This window comes from Homo sapiens, chromosome 2 (genome assembly GCF_000001405.40).
Source record: "Homo sapiens chromosome 2, GRCh38.p14 Primary Assembly".
Classification (NCBI taxonomy): domain Eukaryota; kingdom Metazoa; phylum Chordata; class Mammalia; order Primates; family Hominidae; genus Homo; species Homo sapiens.
In genome coordinates this window covers 241,232,796-241,251,201 of record NC_000002.12, presented here as the reverse complement: position 1 = coordinate 241,251,201, position 18,406 = coordinate 241,232,796, and the positions used below count along the sequence as shown (strand labels likewise).

General features: G+C 50.1%; 2 protein-coding genes across 27 annotated transcripts in view, besides 2 other annotated features; one reads left to right on the top strand and one right to left on the bottom strand.

Moving 5' to 3' along the window:
• The window catches only part of HDLBP (high density lipoprotein binding protein), an 88,382-nt gene that overhangs the window by 64,471 nt on the left and 5,505 nt on the right, over window positions 1-18,406 (top strand). For all 25 annotated transcript variants that reach the window (XM_017003941.3, NM_005336.6, XM_011511060.4 and 22 more), the window contains 13 exons: window positions 1,222-1,361; window positions 2,854-2,958; window positions 3,086-3,199; window positions 4,060-4,146; window positions 4,319-4,450; window positions 8,524-8,742; window positions 11,080-11,301; window positions 11,382-11,600; window positions 12,415-12,553; window positions 14,433-14,587; window positions 15,608-15,712; window positions 15,947-16,081; window positions 17,239-17,382. In XM_017003941.3, coding sequence (XP_016859430.1) covers window positions 1,222-1,361; window positions 2,854-2,958; window positions 3,086-3,199; window positions 4,060-4,146; window positions 4,319-4,450; window positions 8,524-8,742; window positions 11,080-11,301; window positions 11,382-11,600; window positions 12,415-12,553; window positions 14,433-14,587; window positions 15,608-15,712; window positions 15,947-16,081; window positions 17,239-17,382 — 1,916 coding nt within the window. The remainder of the gene's footprint in view (window positions 1-1,221; window positions 1,362-2,853; window positions 2,959-3,085; window positions 3,200-4,059; window positions 4,147-4,318; window positions 4,451-8,523; window positions 8,743-11,079; window positions 11,302-11,381; window positions 11,601-12,414; window positions 12,554-14,432; window positions 14,588-15,607; window positions 15,713-15,946; window positions 16,082-17,238; window positions 17,383-18,406) is intronic.
• Window positions 454-660: a silencer, noted in NCBI's record as "fragment chr2:242189957-242190163 (GRCh37/hg19 assembly coordinates)". NCBI's record gives its function as "represses an EF-1alpha promoter that drives an FKBP-Casp9 reporter gene in an ReSE screen in HepG2 liver carcinoma cells {active_cell/tissue: HepG2}" and the evidence as "EXISTENCE:reporter gene assay evidence [ECO:0000049][PMID:32094911]".
• ANO7 (anoctamin 7) overlaps window positions 10,894-18,406 on the bottom strand; it is a 51,632-nt gene continuing 44,119 nt past the window's right edge. For both annotated transcript variants that reach the window (XM_011511267.3, XM_017004229.2), the window contains one exon: window positions 10,894-11,811. In XM_011511267.3, the coding sequence (XP_011509569.2) occupies window positions 11,721-11,811 (91 nt within the window). In that variant the 3' untranslated portion in view covers window positions 10,894-11,720. The remainder of the gene's footprint in view (window positions 11,812-18,406) is intronic.
• Window positions 15,093-15,304: a silencer, noted in NCBI's record as "fragment chr2:242175313-242175524 (GRCh37/hg19 assembly coordinates)". NCBI's record gives its function as "represses an EF-1alpha promoter that drives an FKBP-Casp9 reporter gene in an ReSE screen in HepG2 liver carcinoma cells {active_cell/tissue: HepG2}" and the evidence as "EXISTENCE:reporter gene assay evidence [ECO:0000049][PMID:32094911]".

The following is an 18,406-nucleotide window of genomic DNA, read 5'->3' as shown; positions in this document are numbered from 1 at the left end:
GGATCACTTGAGCCCAGGAGTTCGAGATGAGCCTGGGCAACATAGTGAGACCCCTGTCTCTACAAAAAAGAAAAATTTAGCCAGGCCTGTGGTCCCCGCTGCTCTGGAGGCTGAGGCAGGAATATCACTTGAGCCCAGGAAGTCAAGGCTGCAGTGAGCTGTGATTGTATCGTGCCACTGCATTTTAGCCTGGGTGACAGAGCAAGACCCTGTCTCAAAACACATATATATGGAAGTACAGTAGTGTAAATCTAACATTAATTTCTGGTTTCTGCCCCCGAGAAATTGCAGAATGTAGCTTAGTCAGTCATGTCTGTTCTGTTTTCTTCTCATGCAGTTCCTAACTCTTGTCTTCTTTCGTAATCTAAAAAAACCTGCTGCCCAGCTCCCATGTCCTCTGCTTCTCTTGTCTTGTGTTGCTTCACCTGGCACAGCTGCATGTCCATGTTCCCCCCTCAGTGCATCGCCTCGTTGCTGCCTCTGCGTGTGCATGTGTTTGGGATGGACGCACAAAAAGCCCTCCTCGTGGTCCTTCCAGCAAGCTGGGCTTCCCTTTACTGCACAGTGGGCAAGATTCCTGCCTTGTTTCCTGATGATACGGCTTCTCCAGAGTTTGGGGGGCCTGGAACTCTTAACTTGGGGGTACTGGGTTCTATCCAGAGAGGTTGACAGCAGGAGGGTTTGCAACAGCACTTGTCTTGCAGACACAGTGAAGTGCTCAGTGTGAATCTGAGCCAACAGTAGATGGGGTCTCTGGGCAGCAGCATGGGCCCCACAAGGCTCTTAGGCGTCAGTGAGTGCTTTTGTGTGGAGTTAATGTGTGTGGTTTTTTTAACTTGAGAATAGTAGTTCCCAAACTTACTGCACATTAGAAACACCTGGAATCCTTCAACTATTCTGAAGCCCTGGCCAATACCCCAGACGAGCTAAATCCCAGACTGAGTGGCCCCAACCGTCAGTTATTTGAAGGTCTCGGGGCATTTCCAGCTTCTGGTCCAGGCTGAGAGCCTGTCCTCCAGAACCCTTGTGATCCAGGTGAAGATCATAACTGGCCCCCATTCTAGACAATGGAGATTTTTGTTTGGGAAGCTAAGCATCGTTTTTGGTGATGGGAATCACAGATAAGGTTATTTAGCGCTTTAGCGCTGTCCTGCCCAGTTATGTCATTGGCAGAATGTTGTTGGTCTGTGTCCTAAATGTGTTTCCTTTTGTGTTCCTAAGTAAACAGAATCAAAGACCAGTACAAGGTGTCCGTGCGCATCCCTCCTGACAGTGAGAAGAGCAATTTGATCCGCATCGAGGGGGACCCACAGGGCGTGCAGCAGGCCAAGCGAGAGCTGCTGGAGCTTGCATCTCGCATGGTAAGTGCCATGGCTGGGCCCTCTAGAAAGGCACTGGCCTTGCGTCTCTTGGCCCCCTCTAAGGAGTAGCGTGTTGTGGTGTGCGGCCTTAGAGAATGGAAGTCGACAAATCCCACGTTGCACTGGAACCGGATTGGACTCCCTGGGGCCACATTTCCTTTATCCTCCCCAGGTCACCTGCACGTCTTGTTCTCCATGGCTGTGTGCTGTGCTAGAAGGGCACAGAGACTGTGTGGCAGCGTCTTGGCCTTGGCCACACCCTGGGTGCCCAGATGCCTGGGTACCATCTCCAGAGATTGTGACAGACATTTCTGGATTCTCAAAGGCATCCCAGGTGGTTCTCATGTAAGGCCAGACTCGAGGATCACTGCAAACCTGAAGTGGGGGCTGTTGCTCTCTACCACCTGGCAGAAGCACTGCACTGCTCTGGGCTCCCCGACGTTTCATACATGCTTATGCCAAGCTGTGAGCACCCTTGCTTCTGTGAGTCAGATACCCACACTTGAAAGTCTCTGGGTGCCTTTAAGTATCCAGAGAAGTCAAATACTGCGTGAGTGCCTGCAGCAGCACTTTGGCCTGACTGTGTGAGGAACAAGCCCCAGGGTTCCCTGTCATTCGCTTAGGGGATTCTTTGTTCACCTCACCCCAGTACCCACACGAGGAATCTCAAATTGGCAGACCTCTTTTATAGCCCTGAGCTGCATTCCAGGGCGTGATGCAGCCTCCCACTGCTTGTGGCCTTCCCGGAGCTCATTCCCCAGTCTCATATTCCAGGTTCTCCTCTTAGCCTGGCCTCCAGCCCAGGTCCCTTGTCCTGGCTGCTTTATGCCCTTCCTGATTGCTGAGCCCTTACTTCTCTGTCAGCCAATAGCCGTTTGATCCAGAATCTCTCAGAATTCTTGGAAATGTTTGGTTGGCTGTTGGTGTTCTTCCCTGAATTCCAGCTCTGCTTATTCTGTATTTCTTCTGACATTTTAATGGGGCCTGTGGAGGAGTTGAGAGCCATGTGGGTTCAGTGCCCTGTGTTGAACGTTCTTAGCCATGCGGGGAAAGTGGTCCGAGCCACCCTCTGTTCAGAAGGGATCACTCACTGCTATGCAGAATGCCAGGCCTCCAAGTAGAAGAGCTGGGCCTCCCCTGTAGTACCTGTTAAAACAGAAGTGCTCACTGAATTGCTTTGGTGATTACTGCTATCATGATAGCACTTTTGGTTGAAGGGTCCTACAGCGAGTTCCTTAATTGGACTTTGTTCAGGGAAGTGACGTGCAGCCCATGTTGCGGAGTGTAGCGATGCTTGGTGAGAGCACTCATTATGCGCTGTGCACACTCTTAACAGCTGGTTGCTCCCGGGGTGCTACGAGGTGCCACCTGGAGACCACCTCACCTGCTCCATGAAGGACTGTGCCCAGGGCTCCCTGGTGTCCCCTTGTGTCAGTGGGGAGTTGCTCGCCGTGCTTGTGATAAATGACATCTACTTTAATTGTATTTTTAGGAAAATGAGCGTACCAAGGATCTAATCATTGAGCAAAGATTTCATCGCACAATCATTGGGCAGAAGGGTGAACGGATCCGTGAAATTCGTGACAAATTCCCAGAGGTAAAGTTTCCCAGAGACATTCTGTAACTCTATAGGAGTGATCCAAGTCACACTTCAGGAATATTTGATATTTGGGATATATGTCCTTCCTCATACTTGAACTTAGTCTCCCCATGATTTGTTCTAGGTCATCATTAACTTTCCAGACCCAGCACAAAAAAGTGACATTGTCCAGCTCAGAGGACCTAAGAATGAGGTGGAAAAATGCACAAAATACATGCAGAAGATGGTGGCAGATCTGGTAGGGGTGTTTCACATCCTTTCTTGTATGACAGCACCTGGGGTGGGTGGGGCATGCGTCCTGTCAGAAGTCCTGACCCCCACAGGACCCCTGCTCTGGGGAAAGCACATAGGCCCTGGGCTGGCCTTCCATCTCAGGGACTTGGGACAAAGTGGTGACGGCTTCTCACTTAATACCTGGATGTTTAGATTGGCAGTCATTGTTAAGACTGCAGTGTTTGTGGAATTCAGGTGGGGAGATTTGCCTTTTCTCATGCCCAGTTACCTTGTTTCCTTGAGGAGTCTTCAGATACTTAGAGAAATTGTCCCATCCAGTAAGATAAGAGGTATAACAGGTGACATGAGGAGTCATATACTGATTTATTATTTTTCTCAAAAACTGACGTGGGAACAGGTTTAGAAAGTGTAGTGAGTAGTGGATGAGAAGGCCACAGGCAGCCATGTATTTCCGTGGGCTTCACCTTAGCTGATGGCTGCCCTGGGAGAGGCGATGGTGAAGGACTCCAGCACTGTGAGCTGCTGTCACATCACTGCCGTGAGTGCAGAATTGCCCAGAGCGTAGGGGTCCGTGCTGTCTCCATGTGTGTTCTGAGCCCCTTCCTTAACCAGCTCTGATCCTGGCATGGGACATGAACTCTCTCTTAGCCAAAAAGTAGACTTGCATCGATTGACTGTAATTTGCAACGTAAGTTAGTTGTTGGACAAATGATCTATCTCACTTACCCTCATGACAAACCTCTGAAGGTTTGTTTGCAAATACCAGTGCTCTGTCGTGTTCATGCTACCCTTAGGGGTAGAAGGGATACTGTATTTTACTCTCTAGCACAGGTGGTGAATCGGGCTGTGTTTTTTGTCTTTAAGGTGGAAAATAGCTATTCAATTTCTGTTCCGATCTTCAAACAGTTTCACAAGAATATCATTGGGAAAGGAGGCGCAAACATTAAAAAGGTGATAACTTGTCCGCTGCATCTTGCTTCTTCTTGCCTTGTCCTCTGTAGCCCTGCACCATTTTGGTTTTAGACTAGGAGGGACTCTTCCTTACTTCTAGCCCTGTGCTCAACTGTGTCTCAACTCTGGGAGAGCTCTAGTCAGCTTCTCATGGTGATCTCTCTCCCTGTAGATTCGTGAAGAAAGCAACACCAAAATCGACCTTCCAGCAGAGAATAGCAATTCAGAGACCATTATCATCACAGGCAAGCGAGCCAACTGCGAAGCTGCCCGGAGCAGGATTCTGTCTATTCAGAAAGACCTGGTAATGGGAGATGTTTTCTAATGGAGATCCTCCAGTAAAATCTCTAACAGCCTCTAAGATTGAGCCTGGGGTTGAGTCACGCAGGGTCATTGGGCCAGCGCAGGCTGATGTGGAAGATTGCACCTTTCAATCCAGGCTACTGATGAGTTGGTCAGCAGTTTTCTGCCTTTGTCTCTCACGATACTTACTTACCTGGACCCTGCAGCAGTAACATTTGACGTGGGCACTTGTCTTATTAGACATTTTCTTCTTGTTACCTGAAAATCTTATCTGAAGGTATTTACGGTATTTTCTTTCCTTTAAAAAAAATTGACATGCAGTAAATTGTACATATTTACAGTGTACAATGTAATAGTTTTGACGTGTGTATACATCCATGGAATCATTCCCACCATCACCCCAAAAATGTCCCATGCCATTTTGTATTACAGTCTCCCTCCATCCCACTTGGCAGCTCCTGAAAACCACACTCCCCCCACCCCCACTTCTATCCCCAGGCAACCCCCAGTCTGCTTTCGGCCACAGTAGATGCTTTTGGATTGTCTACGCTTTTGTGTGAATGGAATCATAACATCTACTCTTTATTGGGCCCATCTGCTTTCACTTTGCAGGATATTTTGACATTTGTGTGTGTTGTCACCTGTATTGTTGGTTTGTTCTTTTTTATTTCAGGATAATATTGCACTGTAGGGATAGATCATCTGTTTCTTTGTGTGTACTTGGTAATTAGTGTCTTTCAAGGGGTTTTCTATTTTCTCCAAGGTGTCAAATGTATTAACATGAAGTTTTTTAGAATAGTCCTGCATTATCCTTTTGCTGTCAATACTGACGTCACCTCTCTTTCACAGTATATGTAATCTGTGCCATTATAAAATGATGCCTTTTCCCTGGTAGTATGCTTGGCTCCAAAGTCTATGTTATTTTTTTCCCCCTTATATTTAAAATTTTTTTGGAGATGAGGTCTTGCTGTCGTCCAGGCTGGAGTGCAGTGGTGCAGTCATGGCTCACTACAGCCTTGGCTTTCCAGACTCAAGCAGTCCTCCCACCTTAGCCTTCCAAGTAGCTGGGACCACAGGTGCATGCTACCGCACCAGGCTAATTTTTTTCTTCTTTTAGTTAGTAGAGATGAGGTCTTGTTATGTTGTCCAGGCTGGTCTCAAACTCCTCAAGTGATCCTCTCGCCTTGGCCTTCCAAACTGCTGGGATTACAGGTGTGAGCCACTGCACCCAGCCTCCTTTATATGATACTAAAGTGAGTTTCTTTTTGGCAGCTTGCTTTTTAAATTAAATCTATCTACTAATCCCAGCACTTTGGGAGGCTCAGGTGGGCGGATCACTTGAGCTCACAAGTTCAAGACCAGCCTGGGCAAAACCCCGTCACTACTAAAACTACAAAAAGAATTAGCCAGTAATGGTGCTGCATGCTTGTAGTCTCAGCCACTCAGGAGGTTGAGGTGAGAGGATGGCTTGAGCCTGGGAGGTGGAGGTTGCAGTGAGCTGAGATTGCGCTGCTGCACTCCAGCCTGGGCCATAGAGCCAGACCTTGTCTCAAAAAAAAAAAAAAGAAAAAAGATTATGATGTTTGCATTTAATTACAGTTGTGATTATATATGTTATATATCACATATTTATATTTATTACATATGTTTAACAAACACGGTTAAATAACTTACTGTAATTTTTTTCCTCAATTGTGGTAAAATATACATAGCAGAATGTATCATTTTAATCGTTTTTTAATGGTTAATTCAACTGAGTACATTCACAAGGTTGTGCAACCATCACCCTGTCCATTTTCAGAGCATTTCCATCATCTTACACAGAAACTACACCCATTAAACAGCAACTACCACCATCCCCACGTGCTCAGCCACCATGATGTCATGATTTTATATGATTGGCTTTCAGTCCACCATTTACATTATTAACCTTTAAAAAAAATTCCATTATTTTTTAAAGAGATTTAAATAATATGAAAAAATGTATGTATTTATCCACACAGTTGCCATTTCTAGAGCTCTTCATTTCTTGGCGTGATCCTTGTCTTCATTTTCCTTCTGTCTGAAGGAAACCACTCAACATCTCTCGTAGTGTGTATCCGGTAATGACTTCTTTCACATTCTGTATGTCTGCAAGTATTTTTTTCCTTCACTTTCGAAAAGCTGTTTCTGCTGCATAAAGGTTTCTAGGTTGGCAGTTTTTTTCCTTTCCAGACTTGGCTTCATTGCCGTCTCCTGTTGTTTCTGATGAGAAAGCTGATGGTGCCCCTGGCTTTGTTCCTCTGTCCATGACAAACCTTCTCCCTCTGGCTGCTGTTAGGGTTTTACCACCGTCTCTGAGCAAGTTAGGATGTGTCTCTGTGTAGTTTTCTTCATGTCTCTTAGCTTGGTGTTTATTGAGCTTCTTGAATATATGTGTTCAGAATTTCATCAAATGTGGACAATTTTTGGTCACTATGAGCATTTTGTTGTGTTAGCCCCTTGCTGTCTCCCCGTCAGGGACTCTGGTGACCAGGGTATTTAGTTGTCTTCTACTTGTGCTCTGTTTATTTGAGTTGAGGGGAGGAGCGATATTGGTTTTCTCCATGAGTTTCTTTAAATTCATTAATTCTTTGCAGTGTTCTAATCTGCCTCATTTCATCTAATATCATTTTCATTTTAGATGTTGTTTTCTTCCCTAGAAGTTCACTCTGAATTAGTATCTTCTGTATTTTCAGTTCTTAACATGTTCAGTCTTTCTGCTTTTGGCCATAGACAATACAGTTAAATACCTGTTTTTCTGTCCTTGGCTGGCTGATTCTAACACTGTCATTTCTGGGTGGTTTTCTATTTTCTTTTCCTCGTTATGGGTTTTCCCCCTATTCTTTGCATTTCTGGTGTTTCTTAATGAGGGTGTTTTTGTATTCCTCTGAATATTATTTTGTGTTTGTGAAGTCACTCTGAAACATTTTGCTCCTTTTAGGACTTGCTTTTAACGTTTATTAGGGAGGATCAGAGCAGTATTTAGTTCAGGCCCAAATATTTCCACTGCTGAGATAAGATCCTTCTGAGTACTCCACGTCCCAGAAAGTTGAAACTGCTGAGGACGGTTCTGGACCAGGCTCCGACTGAGCTGCAGGCACTGTTTCCTGGTGTCTGAGCTGTAGGTACTATACCAGGCCCCGACTGAGCTGCAGGCACTGTTTCCTGGTGACTGAGCTGCAGGTACTGTACCAGGCCCCGACTGAGCTGCAGGCACTGTTTCCTGGTGTCTGAGCTGCAGGTACTGTACCAGGCTCCAACTGAGCTAAAAGCACTGTTTCCTGGTGTCTGAGCTGTAGGCCACTATACCCGGCCCTGACTGACCTAAAGGCACTGTATGAGGCCCAGCTGAGCTGCAGGCACTGTTTCCTGTGATCCTTCTGGGGATTCTTTCCCAGGCCCAGGGTGATTTCTTCACGCGTATCAGTATATGAGTGGCTGGTCTCCGGATCTCAGAGGTTCTCGATGCCAGTCTCTTTGGGCTCTGATCTCCGGATGGTTCTGTTTCCTCACCTTCCCGTACTGTGGCAGCAACTTGGGGCAGCTGTAGGGCTCACCTTGTTTCCTGTCTCCAGGGTCTTGAAAGTCACCATTAGGCGGTAAGTTCAGTCCAGTCCCTGGTACTGCATCTTGGCTGAAAGCAGAATCTTTGGTTTTAATAGGAAAAGTTTATGTATCCATAGGCATATGGAGCCACCTCTGGCAGAGCCGGAGCGTTGACTGAAGAAATAGAGCATTATGTGTGGTCTGAAATTACCACGCTCCCACCTCCCAATCCAGCATAGATTCACGAGGACTCTGGGTCCTGTTGAGTTAAACACCTCCCAGCGCGCCTGCTCTGCTGGGCGCACCCCACTCTCCCCAGGACGTGCACTCTCCTCCCCCGTGCAGGTCAAAAATGGCTTGGAGAAGTTTGGTCAGTGCTTGTAAGTGGCATCTCCAGGGCTCTAGGCCTGCGTGTTCATCACCACCAAAGATGATAGTTTATCTTTTCCTCTGCCCTTTTTGCCACAAAAATGTGACTTCCTCCTCCTGCCCTGTGTTTGGTTTCAGGCCAACATAGCCGAGGTAGAGGTCTCCATCCCTGCCAAGCTGCACAACTCCCTCATTGGCACCAAGGGCCGTCTGATCCGCTCCATCATGGAGGAGTGCGGCGGGGTCCACATTCACTTTCCCGTGGAAGGTTCAGGAAGCGACACCGTTGTTATCAGGGGCCCTTCCTCGGATGTGGAGAAGGCCAAGAAGCAGCTCCTGCATCTGGCGGAGGAGAAGGTGAGCATGGGGAGGGAGCGTGACTCTTGGCAGGAAGCCTGGTCCTCAGTACAGTGTTCTCGCTTCTCACTGTGGAAACCCCTGAATGCCCTTCCTTTGTGGCGGGTCAGAAAACAGCTCTATAATGTACTGTTTATGCGTCTTTGTTTTTGCTGTTACTGGAGGGCCTTTCCAGGTCCAAACGCTCACATATGCAATATATAAAAGTTGGTCTTTGGCTTATTAGTTTTGGGGTGCTTTTGTTTTTTAAATATGATTTACAGTAAAATTGGCCATTCTTCAGGTATAGTTGAGTTTTAAGTAACATGCAGTCATGTGACCACAATCATCAAAATTCATTTTCCATCACCCCTAAAGATTGCCCATGGAATTGCTGTTGTCCTTGTGTCAAAACCCATCTGTGGGTATGTTTCCGGGCTCTTCTGGTGACACCAGGTTTATGGGAAGTCTGGAAATCAGTAGTGTGAGCCCTCTTAACTTTGGCTGTTCTACACCCCTTGCTGATCAGCCTGTCAATTTGTAGGAAAAAAGCACTTTCACGTTTTGATTGGGATTGTGTGAAATTTGAAGATGAGACTGGCGAGGATTGACAGCTCAGCAGTTTTGACTTTTGCAGGCATTTCTCCATTTTTTTTAGGTCTGTGATTCTTTATTGGTGTTTTATAATTTTTAGCACATTTTTATGTTCGACTTAACAGATCTAACTACTGTTACTCTTTTAGTGCTATTGTAAATGGCACTTTTTTTCCATTTCCAGTTGTTAGCACATGGAAGTGCCTGTGGTTTTTGTATGTTGACCTTCACGAGGCTGCTAAATAAAGCTCATGTATATTAGCGCCAGTCACTGTTTTGTGGATTTTTTTTTTTTTTTTTTTTTTTTTTTTTTTTTTTTTGAGACGGAGTCTTGCTCTGTCGCCCAGGCTGGAGTGTAGTGGCGCAATCTCGCCTCACTGCAAGCTCCGCCTCCTGGGTTCACGCCATTCTCCTGCCTCAGCCTCCCGAGTAGCTGGGACCACAGGCGCCCGACACCTCACCCAGCTAATTTTTTGTATTTTTAGTAGAGATGGGGTTTCACAGTGTTAGCTAGGATGGTCTCGATCTCCTGACCTCGTGATCCGCCCGCCTCGGCCTCCCAAAGTGCTGGGATTACAGGCGTGAGCCACTGCGCCCGGCCCACTGTTTTGTGGATCCTTATTTTATATGTCACAATCACGTGGTCTGTGGACAGTTACATTTCTCTCTAATCTGGAGCCTTGTATTTCTTGTCTTTTTTGTTGTTGTTATTAGATTGATGTTTTTGTCTTTGTGTTTAACCAGCCTTGCGTTTCTGGGGTAATCCCTGCTTGGTTTGGTAGGTTGTCTTTGGCCATATTGCTAGATTGCATTTGCCTAATTGATTGCCTAATGTTTGACTAATGCTGCTATTTGTGGATGTCTTTGAAAAGTAGCAGAGTCTCTAGGTGGTATTTGGTGAAACCTGCACTTAAAAGGTAGCAAAGTTGTTATTTAATATTTTTGTGCTAGCATGTTTTTCTTTGGTATTTTTGCTTGCGGGCCAGATCTTGGGTCCGGAGAAAGGCAAGAGCTCCCCGTGTGGACCTGAGTCCCGTGGAGCAGCGCCCTTCTCGGGGCCCCTGCGTGGGTCTGCCAGAAGCACTGGTGTCCACAAGCAGTGTCCGGGGCCTTTCCAGGACCCTCGTTTTCTTACTGCCACACAAGGGCGTCGCACTACACGAGGCCTCTGAGGACCGGTCTCTAACTGTAGCCTTGGTTGGCTTGTGTCCCTCTGAGCTTGAGCTTGAGCCTGGGGAGTGGCTGGTTTTGTGGAGGCTGATCTGTAGCACTCGTGGGAAGAAAGGGAGCCTGGCCCAGATTTGTGTGTGCTTGGTCTGGAAGCAGGTAGAAGAGTGGGAGCATGGTGCACACCTCTTGGGCAGCTTGCTTCCTGCTCTGCTGGGCACACCCCACGCTCCCCAGGACGTGCACTCCGCCAACATATCGTCCGGCGCGTTGCTCCCACCTCCCCCTGTGCAGATCAAAAATGGCTTGGAGAAGTTTGGTCAGTGCTTGTAAGTGGCAGGACCAGGGTTCTAAGCCTGTGTGTTCATCCCACCAGCATCTGGTTGTTGTGGAAGAGAAGTAGGTGTGCAGTCTGGGTATTCATCTGTTTATTCAGTGAGGTGTGCTAGCCCCATTTTGGGGGTATTGGTGCAACATCAGGACACTGGTGACAATGTAAGGGGAGCCCGAGCTTGCTGTCCTACAGACCCTCTTGTCTTCCTCACTGTGGTCCAGGCACGTGGTGTCAGGCTAACACAGTGGGATTGGTTTCTGCAGCAAACCAAGAGTTTCACTGTTGACATCCGCGCCAAGCCAGAATACCACAAATTCCTCATCGGCAAGGGGGGCGGCAAAATTCGCAAGGTGCGCGACAGCACTGGAGCACGTGTCATCTTCCCTGCGGCTGAGGACAAGGACCAGGACCTGATCACCATCATTGGAAAGGAGGACGCCGTCCGAGAGGCACAGAAGGAGCTGGAGGCCTTGATCCAAAACCTGGTAGGGAGCGGGCCTCGGCGGCCGACTCTGCTGGGGCCGTGATGGGGTGGCTTATCTTCCATCTCTTCTTAACACTGCAGGATAATGTGGTGGAAGACTCCATGCTGGTGGACCCCAAGCACCACCGCCACTTCGTCATCCGCAGAGGCCAGGTCTTGCGGGAGATTGCTGAAGAGTATGGCGGGGTGATGGTCAGCTTCCCACGCTCTGGCACACAGAGCGACAAAGTCACCCTCAAGGGCGCCAAGGACTGTGTGGAGGCAGCCAAGAAACGCATTCAGGAGATCATTGAGGACCTGGTAGGCACTTGGGTGCTCGGGGAGGGGTTCTCACCCCCCAGTGGCCACTCACCGAAGCCGTGTATGAGTGTTCGCTCCACCCTGTAGGGAGGTGACTCCCTCATACAGCCCTGGAAGGCTTCAGAAGGGGCTTTCTGGTGCTCGCTCTTCTTTCCTCAGCCTGTCTGGCCTCCTTCCTGATAGTTGGTGAGAATTCTGCCTGCGAGAAGCACTTAAAAAAAAAAAGAGAGAGAGAAGGAGAAGAGGAGAGGGGAGAGAGAGAGAGGAAAGAAAGCAAGAGAAAGAAAGAAAATGCATTCTGTATAAGGGATCAGGAAAAATGAAAATGCAGTCTAAGGGGTCAGCTCTCTTCTCCCCTCTGTGAAGGAAAGAAAATCGATTTGAGGGCATCCACGTGAATCCATGGGAAGTCATGAGAAGACGTGGTCTTTAGAAGCAGTCTTTAGAGAGTGTCCCCTCCAGGCCACTCCCCTGCCAGGGCCTTGGATTCCCTTTCCCTAATAATCAAGTCTGATGCCTCCTCATGGAGTCAGAGGCTACCCCAGGAGGTCCCACTCCTTTGGCTGAATTGGCCACCCTCCAGGGATGGCACCTGGCCTTCTGGGACACATTTCAGAGGAGGCCCACCCCCTTAGACCTGTCCTGCTACCTCCCTCCTCCCTGCGCCTGGAGCCCTGGACTCGGGAGAAGGGGAGCATCTGTGCCAAGTGGCTGTAGAGGACAGGGAGGAAGGTGGTGTGAAGAGTGCTGTAAAACTTGCCCTAAGGAATTTAATCTTTGCTCTTTTCTTTTTTCTTTGTGTACCTCCCTCCAGGAAGCTCAGGTGACATTAGAATGTGCTATACCCCAGAAATTCCATCGATCTGTCATGGGCCCCAAAGGTTCCAGAATCCAGCAGATTACTCGGGATTTCAGTGTTCAAATTAAATTCCCAGACAGAGAGGAGAACGCAGGTGGGTCCCCCATTAGCCCTGCTCTGCTTGTTAATAGTGGCGCCTCCCATGTGAGAGGCGGGGCTGTCGCACATACTGGTGAGGCTCTTTCCTGTCTCTGCTGGAAAACCATCTATGTATTCTGGGGGCTTCCAGAGGTTCAGGGTCACTCCCTGGCCTTTAAAAGATGGACCACGTCAGTTACTGACAGAGTGACCAGGTGACCTTCATAGGTCCTAGAGACACACAAGGTAGCCAGTCCCAAGGCGATGAGGAGCGTGCAGCCTCATCCTCGGGTGTCCCGAGTTCAGTCCCAGTGATTCTCATGACATCGTTTGGATCGCATGAGCCCCGTCGTAGAGCTTCCTCCTCCACATCTCCCATCACTGTGGGGTGTCCCCTGTGAGGCAGGCAGCTGCAGCCTCTGGCTGGCCAGAGGGCACCATCCAAGTGGCCGGCAGTTCTAGGAGAGCATTCAGTTCCCCGTACCATGCTTGCCCCCAGCTCTGCTCATGCACCTGGTGGTGGGGAGGCGACCTGTGGGATGCGGGTCGGTTGCCTCTCTCTCACTTGCTCTGCATTTGTGAAACAAAAGGTATGCCCTCCACTCTGTGTTATCAGATGCCCGCCCTCCACTCTGTGTTATCAGTCTTGGTTGAGCTGTTTGGGCGGCAGGTGGCCCTGCAGCCTGCTGAGTGCACATAGTGTCATCTCTCTGGGCATCCAGGAAGCATGTCACACACAGCCATTCAAGCCCCTTTGTTTTCCTGAGAATACAGGGTGTTTTGAGTAGGAAACTAATAAACTCATACTGCACTCTGTCTATGTTTTACACTTCAGTGGTTATTTAAAACTTTGATTTTGATAGAATTTCACAGAATAGTATAAAGACACATCCTGTGGCACCAGTTTCTTTTCTCAACTTCTCCCCTTTTACACACGTTTTTTTTCTGAATGTCATTTTTAGACATGTCCCTTTATTCATGGTGGGTATTTTCTTAGAACAAGGACATTCTCTTACATAATTCTAGCACATTTATCGGAATCGGATTTAACATTATATAACAGTAGTATCTAATATGTTGTCGGTATTCAAATTTGCCAGTTTTTCTCCTTCAGAAACACCTACTTCCCCATCCTAGGATCACCCTTGATTTCAGGCAGGCGTCTGTCTGGTCTCCTGCTCATTTATTTACATCACACACCTCCTGGGTTCTGTCTTAGTGATAATTATTGTTGTGTCTGTTTTGTGACACTTATTGTTGTGGTGTCTATTTTGGTACACACGCGGTGTCCCAGTGTGGCCTGTAGGAGCCCCTCCAGCTGTCTTCTGTGTCCTGTTCACACGCCTCTTCACTTCTGGGGCTCTCGCTTTCTGGCATAAGGAGCTGGCACAGGTTTACCTTGGCCTTGCCCTTTCTGTCTCCCCTAGACCTCTCACCCCCCTTCCCACTGCCTCTCCTGGGTGGGGCTGCGTGCTGGCCGCCTTCCCTGATGAGCCCTGCCTCACAGTCAAGCCTCACTTGTGCAGTGGGTCTGCCCTGTGTTCCTCCCATGAACTAACTCATCTGATCTCACTGAAGCCTCTGCTGTAGTTAGTTGCTGTTAGCTTCATCTTCAAGGTGAAGAAGGGAGACACAGAGCTCACGGCCTCCCGGCAAAGCCTTCATTGCCGCCCCCCCCCCCCCCCCCAAGGTCTGGGAGCCCTCTTTGAGGCTGCTGTGGGGACGTCCTATCTGCTCTCCCTGACCAGACCAAGACCTCCTGAAGGACAGGAGTGGTTTTCCCTCCCTTTTACCACCCAGCACCCAGCAGGTGCCTCACAGACATATGCATTCTGAACAAGGTGTGGGGTCTCTTCCAGCAGCTGTCAGCTGTCCCTTTTCCCCTTTCTCTCTAGTTCACAGTACAGAGCCAGTTGTCCAGGAGAATGGGGACGAAGCTGGGGAGGGGAGAGAGGCTAAAGATTGTGACCCCGGCTCTCCAAGGAGGTGTGACATCATCATCATCTCTGGCCGGAAAGAAAAGTGTGAGGCTGCCAAGGAAGCTCTGGAGGTATGTGTCCATGTGCCCCCCTCCACCCCCCGCCAAGGCCCAGTCAGCAGGCACCTGGGGAGACGCGTGGCCTGGATGGGATGGACGGTTGCCCAAGCGGCAGTGGCAGTGGAGGTAGCCCTCTTGCTCCTACCGTGTGCGCACGGGCTGTGCTTCTCGGCTGGACACAGAGTTTGGGGAGGCCACTTCCCTTCACCAAGGCTCGGGGTTCTATAGCCCCTTTCTGGGACAGCTGCATGGGATCCGGCCTCTCAGGCCCACGGTGGGTGCGGGGGCTGTGGAAGGGTCTCAGCTGCAGGGGGATGAATGTGACCTCCAGTTGCAACGTCTCCCCCCGCGTGAGTGGGGTTATCAGGCCTAGCTCACCTTGTGTGCAGTCAGTGTCGAGTGCCACCTGCGTACTGGATGCTGCTCTCAGTGCTGCGGTGCCACAGCACACAAAAATAGTTCTCACGTTGCCGTGGAGAGACAAGCAGTCAACGCAGATATATCCTGTGGCAAGTGATGGTAAATGCTGTGGCAAGAAAGCAGGTTCTGGAGGTGAAGGGCGGTGGGGGAGACAGGGCAGGGAAGGTGAGCAGCGGTCTGAGAGTCCCTTGTGGCACCTCGTGGGCATTAGCCAAAGCCGTCCTGATCCCAAGGGACAGGGCAGGGAAGGTGAGTAGTGGTCCGAGAGTCCCTTGTGGCACCTCATGGGCATCGGTCAAAGCCGTCATGACCCCGAGGATGTGCCAGGAGTCAGGGCCTCTCCTCCTACGTGGGCCTGAAGGGGCTGCTGTAATTCAGGAGGGTAGGCTTGGGATGAAGGGTCTGGAATTTCTGTCTGCCAGCATTAGCCTAATGCAAATCTTTTCCTATTCTTTTCTATTGAGTTAAAGGTCCTGGTGGCATTGTCGGGTGGGGCACATTGCTGTTGTCATAGGGCTGTTTGCCTTGTGTTTCGTGGAGCCCCATTGCTGAGCTTACAACGTCACTCTGCTCTCAGCTCCCACGGCCTAACCATGACCATCCTCCCTGCAGGCATTGGTTCCTGTCACCATTGAAGTAGAGGTGCCCTTTGACCTTCACCGTTACGTTATTGGGCAGAAAGGAAGTGGGATCCGCAAGATGATGGATGAGTTTGAGGTAGACCCCTTTCCCGGGAGGCCATGTCACAGGAGTGGCCTGTCGCATCCTCTCCCGAGTGCCAGTGTCCTTTCTCAACTTCCTGTTGACTCTGCCTCCTCCTGCTCGGACTGGGCACTGACTTCCCTTCACGGCGGGTGGCCTTCCCTCTCACCACTTCTGGGTCCCAGGGCCAATGGACTCTTTCCTGTTCTCTGGGGTCCTGAACGTCAAGTCAGCCCCCTCTTCACGTAGGTGAACATACATGTCCCGGCACCTGAGCTGCAGTCTGACATCATCGCCATCACGGGCCTCGCTGCAAATTTGGACCGGGCCAAGGCTGGACTGCTGGAGCGTGTGAAGGAGCTACAGGCCGAGCAGGAGGACCGGGTGAGCAGGAGGTGGCCGGGGCACTGCCCAGAGCCATGGTGCTCAGCTTTGGGCACATGTCAGAATCTAGGGAAGTTCTTCAGGATCCCAGCATCCCAGCGACATCTGGCTGGAGGTGAGATGCAGGCAGTGCCAGGACGCAGTCAGCATCCAGGGGTCTTGCTGTGGAACTAGCCAAGAGCATGGCACCTTTCTCTTTTTCATAAAAAAGTGACAAAGTTGGACTTCCGTGTAAATTTGCAGTTTCTCTCAAAACCAAATCAGAGTGGTACCTCAGACCTACAAGAAAGGTCAAGGTTGCGAGAGGCCCCCAAGCATGTGCTATGCAGTGAGGACGAGCATCGGGGACCCCCACTAACCTCTAGCACAGGGTGGTCAAAGGGCGAATGACTTCCTGGTAAGCAGGGATGAAACCCCCCCAACCTCTGGCAAGGCTGACGTTTGAAGGATTGTATGAGCGGAGCGCTGCAGACGCCCAGCCTCTGGCAGGGCTGACATTTGGAGGATTGTGTGAGCAGAGTGCTGCAGACAGGAGCAGGGGTTCTGGAACTTGGAGCAGACTGTGCTGGGGTGCTGGTTTGCTAAGGGGGTTGGCTTTCCACTCCTCCCGTGAGCACGTCGAGTCTGGTGAATGGGGTGGAGCTCGTGAACCTCACATGGTGTCAGTGTACCCCTGCGTGGACTCTGGGTTGTCTCCTGCAGCCAGGTCATACCTGTAGCCTTTGGCCATGGGTGTTCAGGGGCTGTGGCTGCCCCCTCTTCTTGGTCTGCATCTGCCCCAGTCCTAAAAAGATCCAGAGCATTTCTGTGCGTATCCATCAGATCCCTGTTTGACAAATGAGGAGAGCGGGGCCCCAAGCTCGTGACTCACTGCCTAGCTCTGTCAGTTCCTGAGCACGATCCTCGCAAGTGGTCCCAAGCCCTCTTTTGAAGGATTTATAGACCTCCTTGTGGAGCAGCCAAGTTCCCTGGTTCTCATTATTAGCAGATAATGGAAGGTGGCAGAGGTCGGACCAGAGAGATGGCGGACCATTCCGGACCACGGGTTACAGAACACTGCAGCATCTCCAGTGTCCTATGACCAGGGTGGAAGGGGAATGGAGTCACAGGGTGGATCAGCTCAATCTTTGCCTCATTCTTGCTCCTTTCATTTGTAGGCTTTAAGGAGTTTTAAGCTGAGTGTCACTGTAGACCCCAAATACCATCCCAAGATTATCGGGAGAAAGGGGGCAGTAATTACCCAAATCCGGTTGGAGCATGACGTGAACATCCAGTTTCCTGATAAGGACGATGGGAACCAGGTGAGAGCCTCGGTTGGAGCGTGTCGGGGGCAGAGGTGCTTGTTGACCTTTCCTGTGACTTGGGAGCAGTAACCAGATGTGCCTAGATGGGGGTTCGAGGGCCAAGTTGAGAGTGGCAAGTCTCTCAGGACCTAATTCTGGCTTGAGGTTTGGGCTGTGTCTCGGTACTTGCCAGATGGGTGAGGTCTCTGGCACTATGTATCATCTGGGGCCTGGAGCATTTTCTCCTGCGTCTCCTTCCAGAAAATGAGCAGGAGCTCCAGCTGGGTCCTTGATCAGTGGCGCCTCCAGGTGTAGCTCATTCACCTGTCACCCGGGCCTCTCTGAGGCTCCCAAGGGCTCTCATTCACCTGTCACCTGGGCCTCTTGGGGTCAGGTGGACATTTCTCTGCAGCCCCAGCTGCAAACACCGTTGTGCTTGCCAGATGGTCCTTAGTAAACTCTTGTTGTTACTTCCTCCAAATTGCAGTGCCACCCCCCTGCCACTGGCCCTCATGGCCTCCTGCTTCACTCAGAACAAAATGAAAGGCAGCCCCATCCCCTCTCTGGGCCCTGCCACCTGGCATGCAGGGCAGCCTCACCCAACACCCCCTCTTGCACACACTTCCCAGGCTTGGTCTTTCCTGGCTCTGGCATCCTGCTGGGGTGTCTGCTTCCTAGGCGTGTCCAGCACAGCTTTGCCCACAGTGGGAGACTAGCAAGCCTTGGTGGCCACAGTTGTGCTGGTTTCCAGAAACAGCAAACCCCCTGGCAGCAGAGCCCCTCCACGCCCCTCGCTCCCACTGTGGATGTGCCGCCCAGGGTTTTCCGCTGCTTCCCCTTCCCCTTCCCCTTCTTCCTCCCCAGCTTCTTGTTCCCTTTTGGATCTTTGAGTCACACACACACCAGCCAGGCCAGGAGGGCCCTCCTGCACCCTGCCTCCTCCAGCTCCCACGTCCTCTTCCCTCCCCACATACATTTTTTAATTTTTAGTCTTGATCTTGAGAGTTTAGTTCTTTTTTTTGAGAGAGATAGTCTTTGTCTT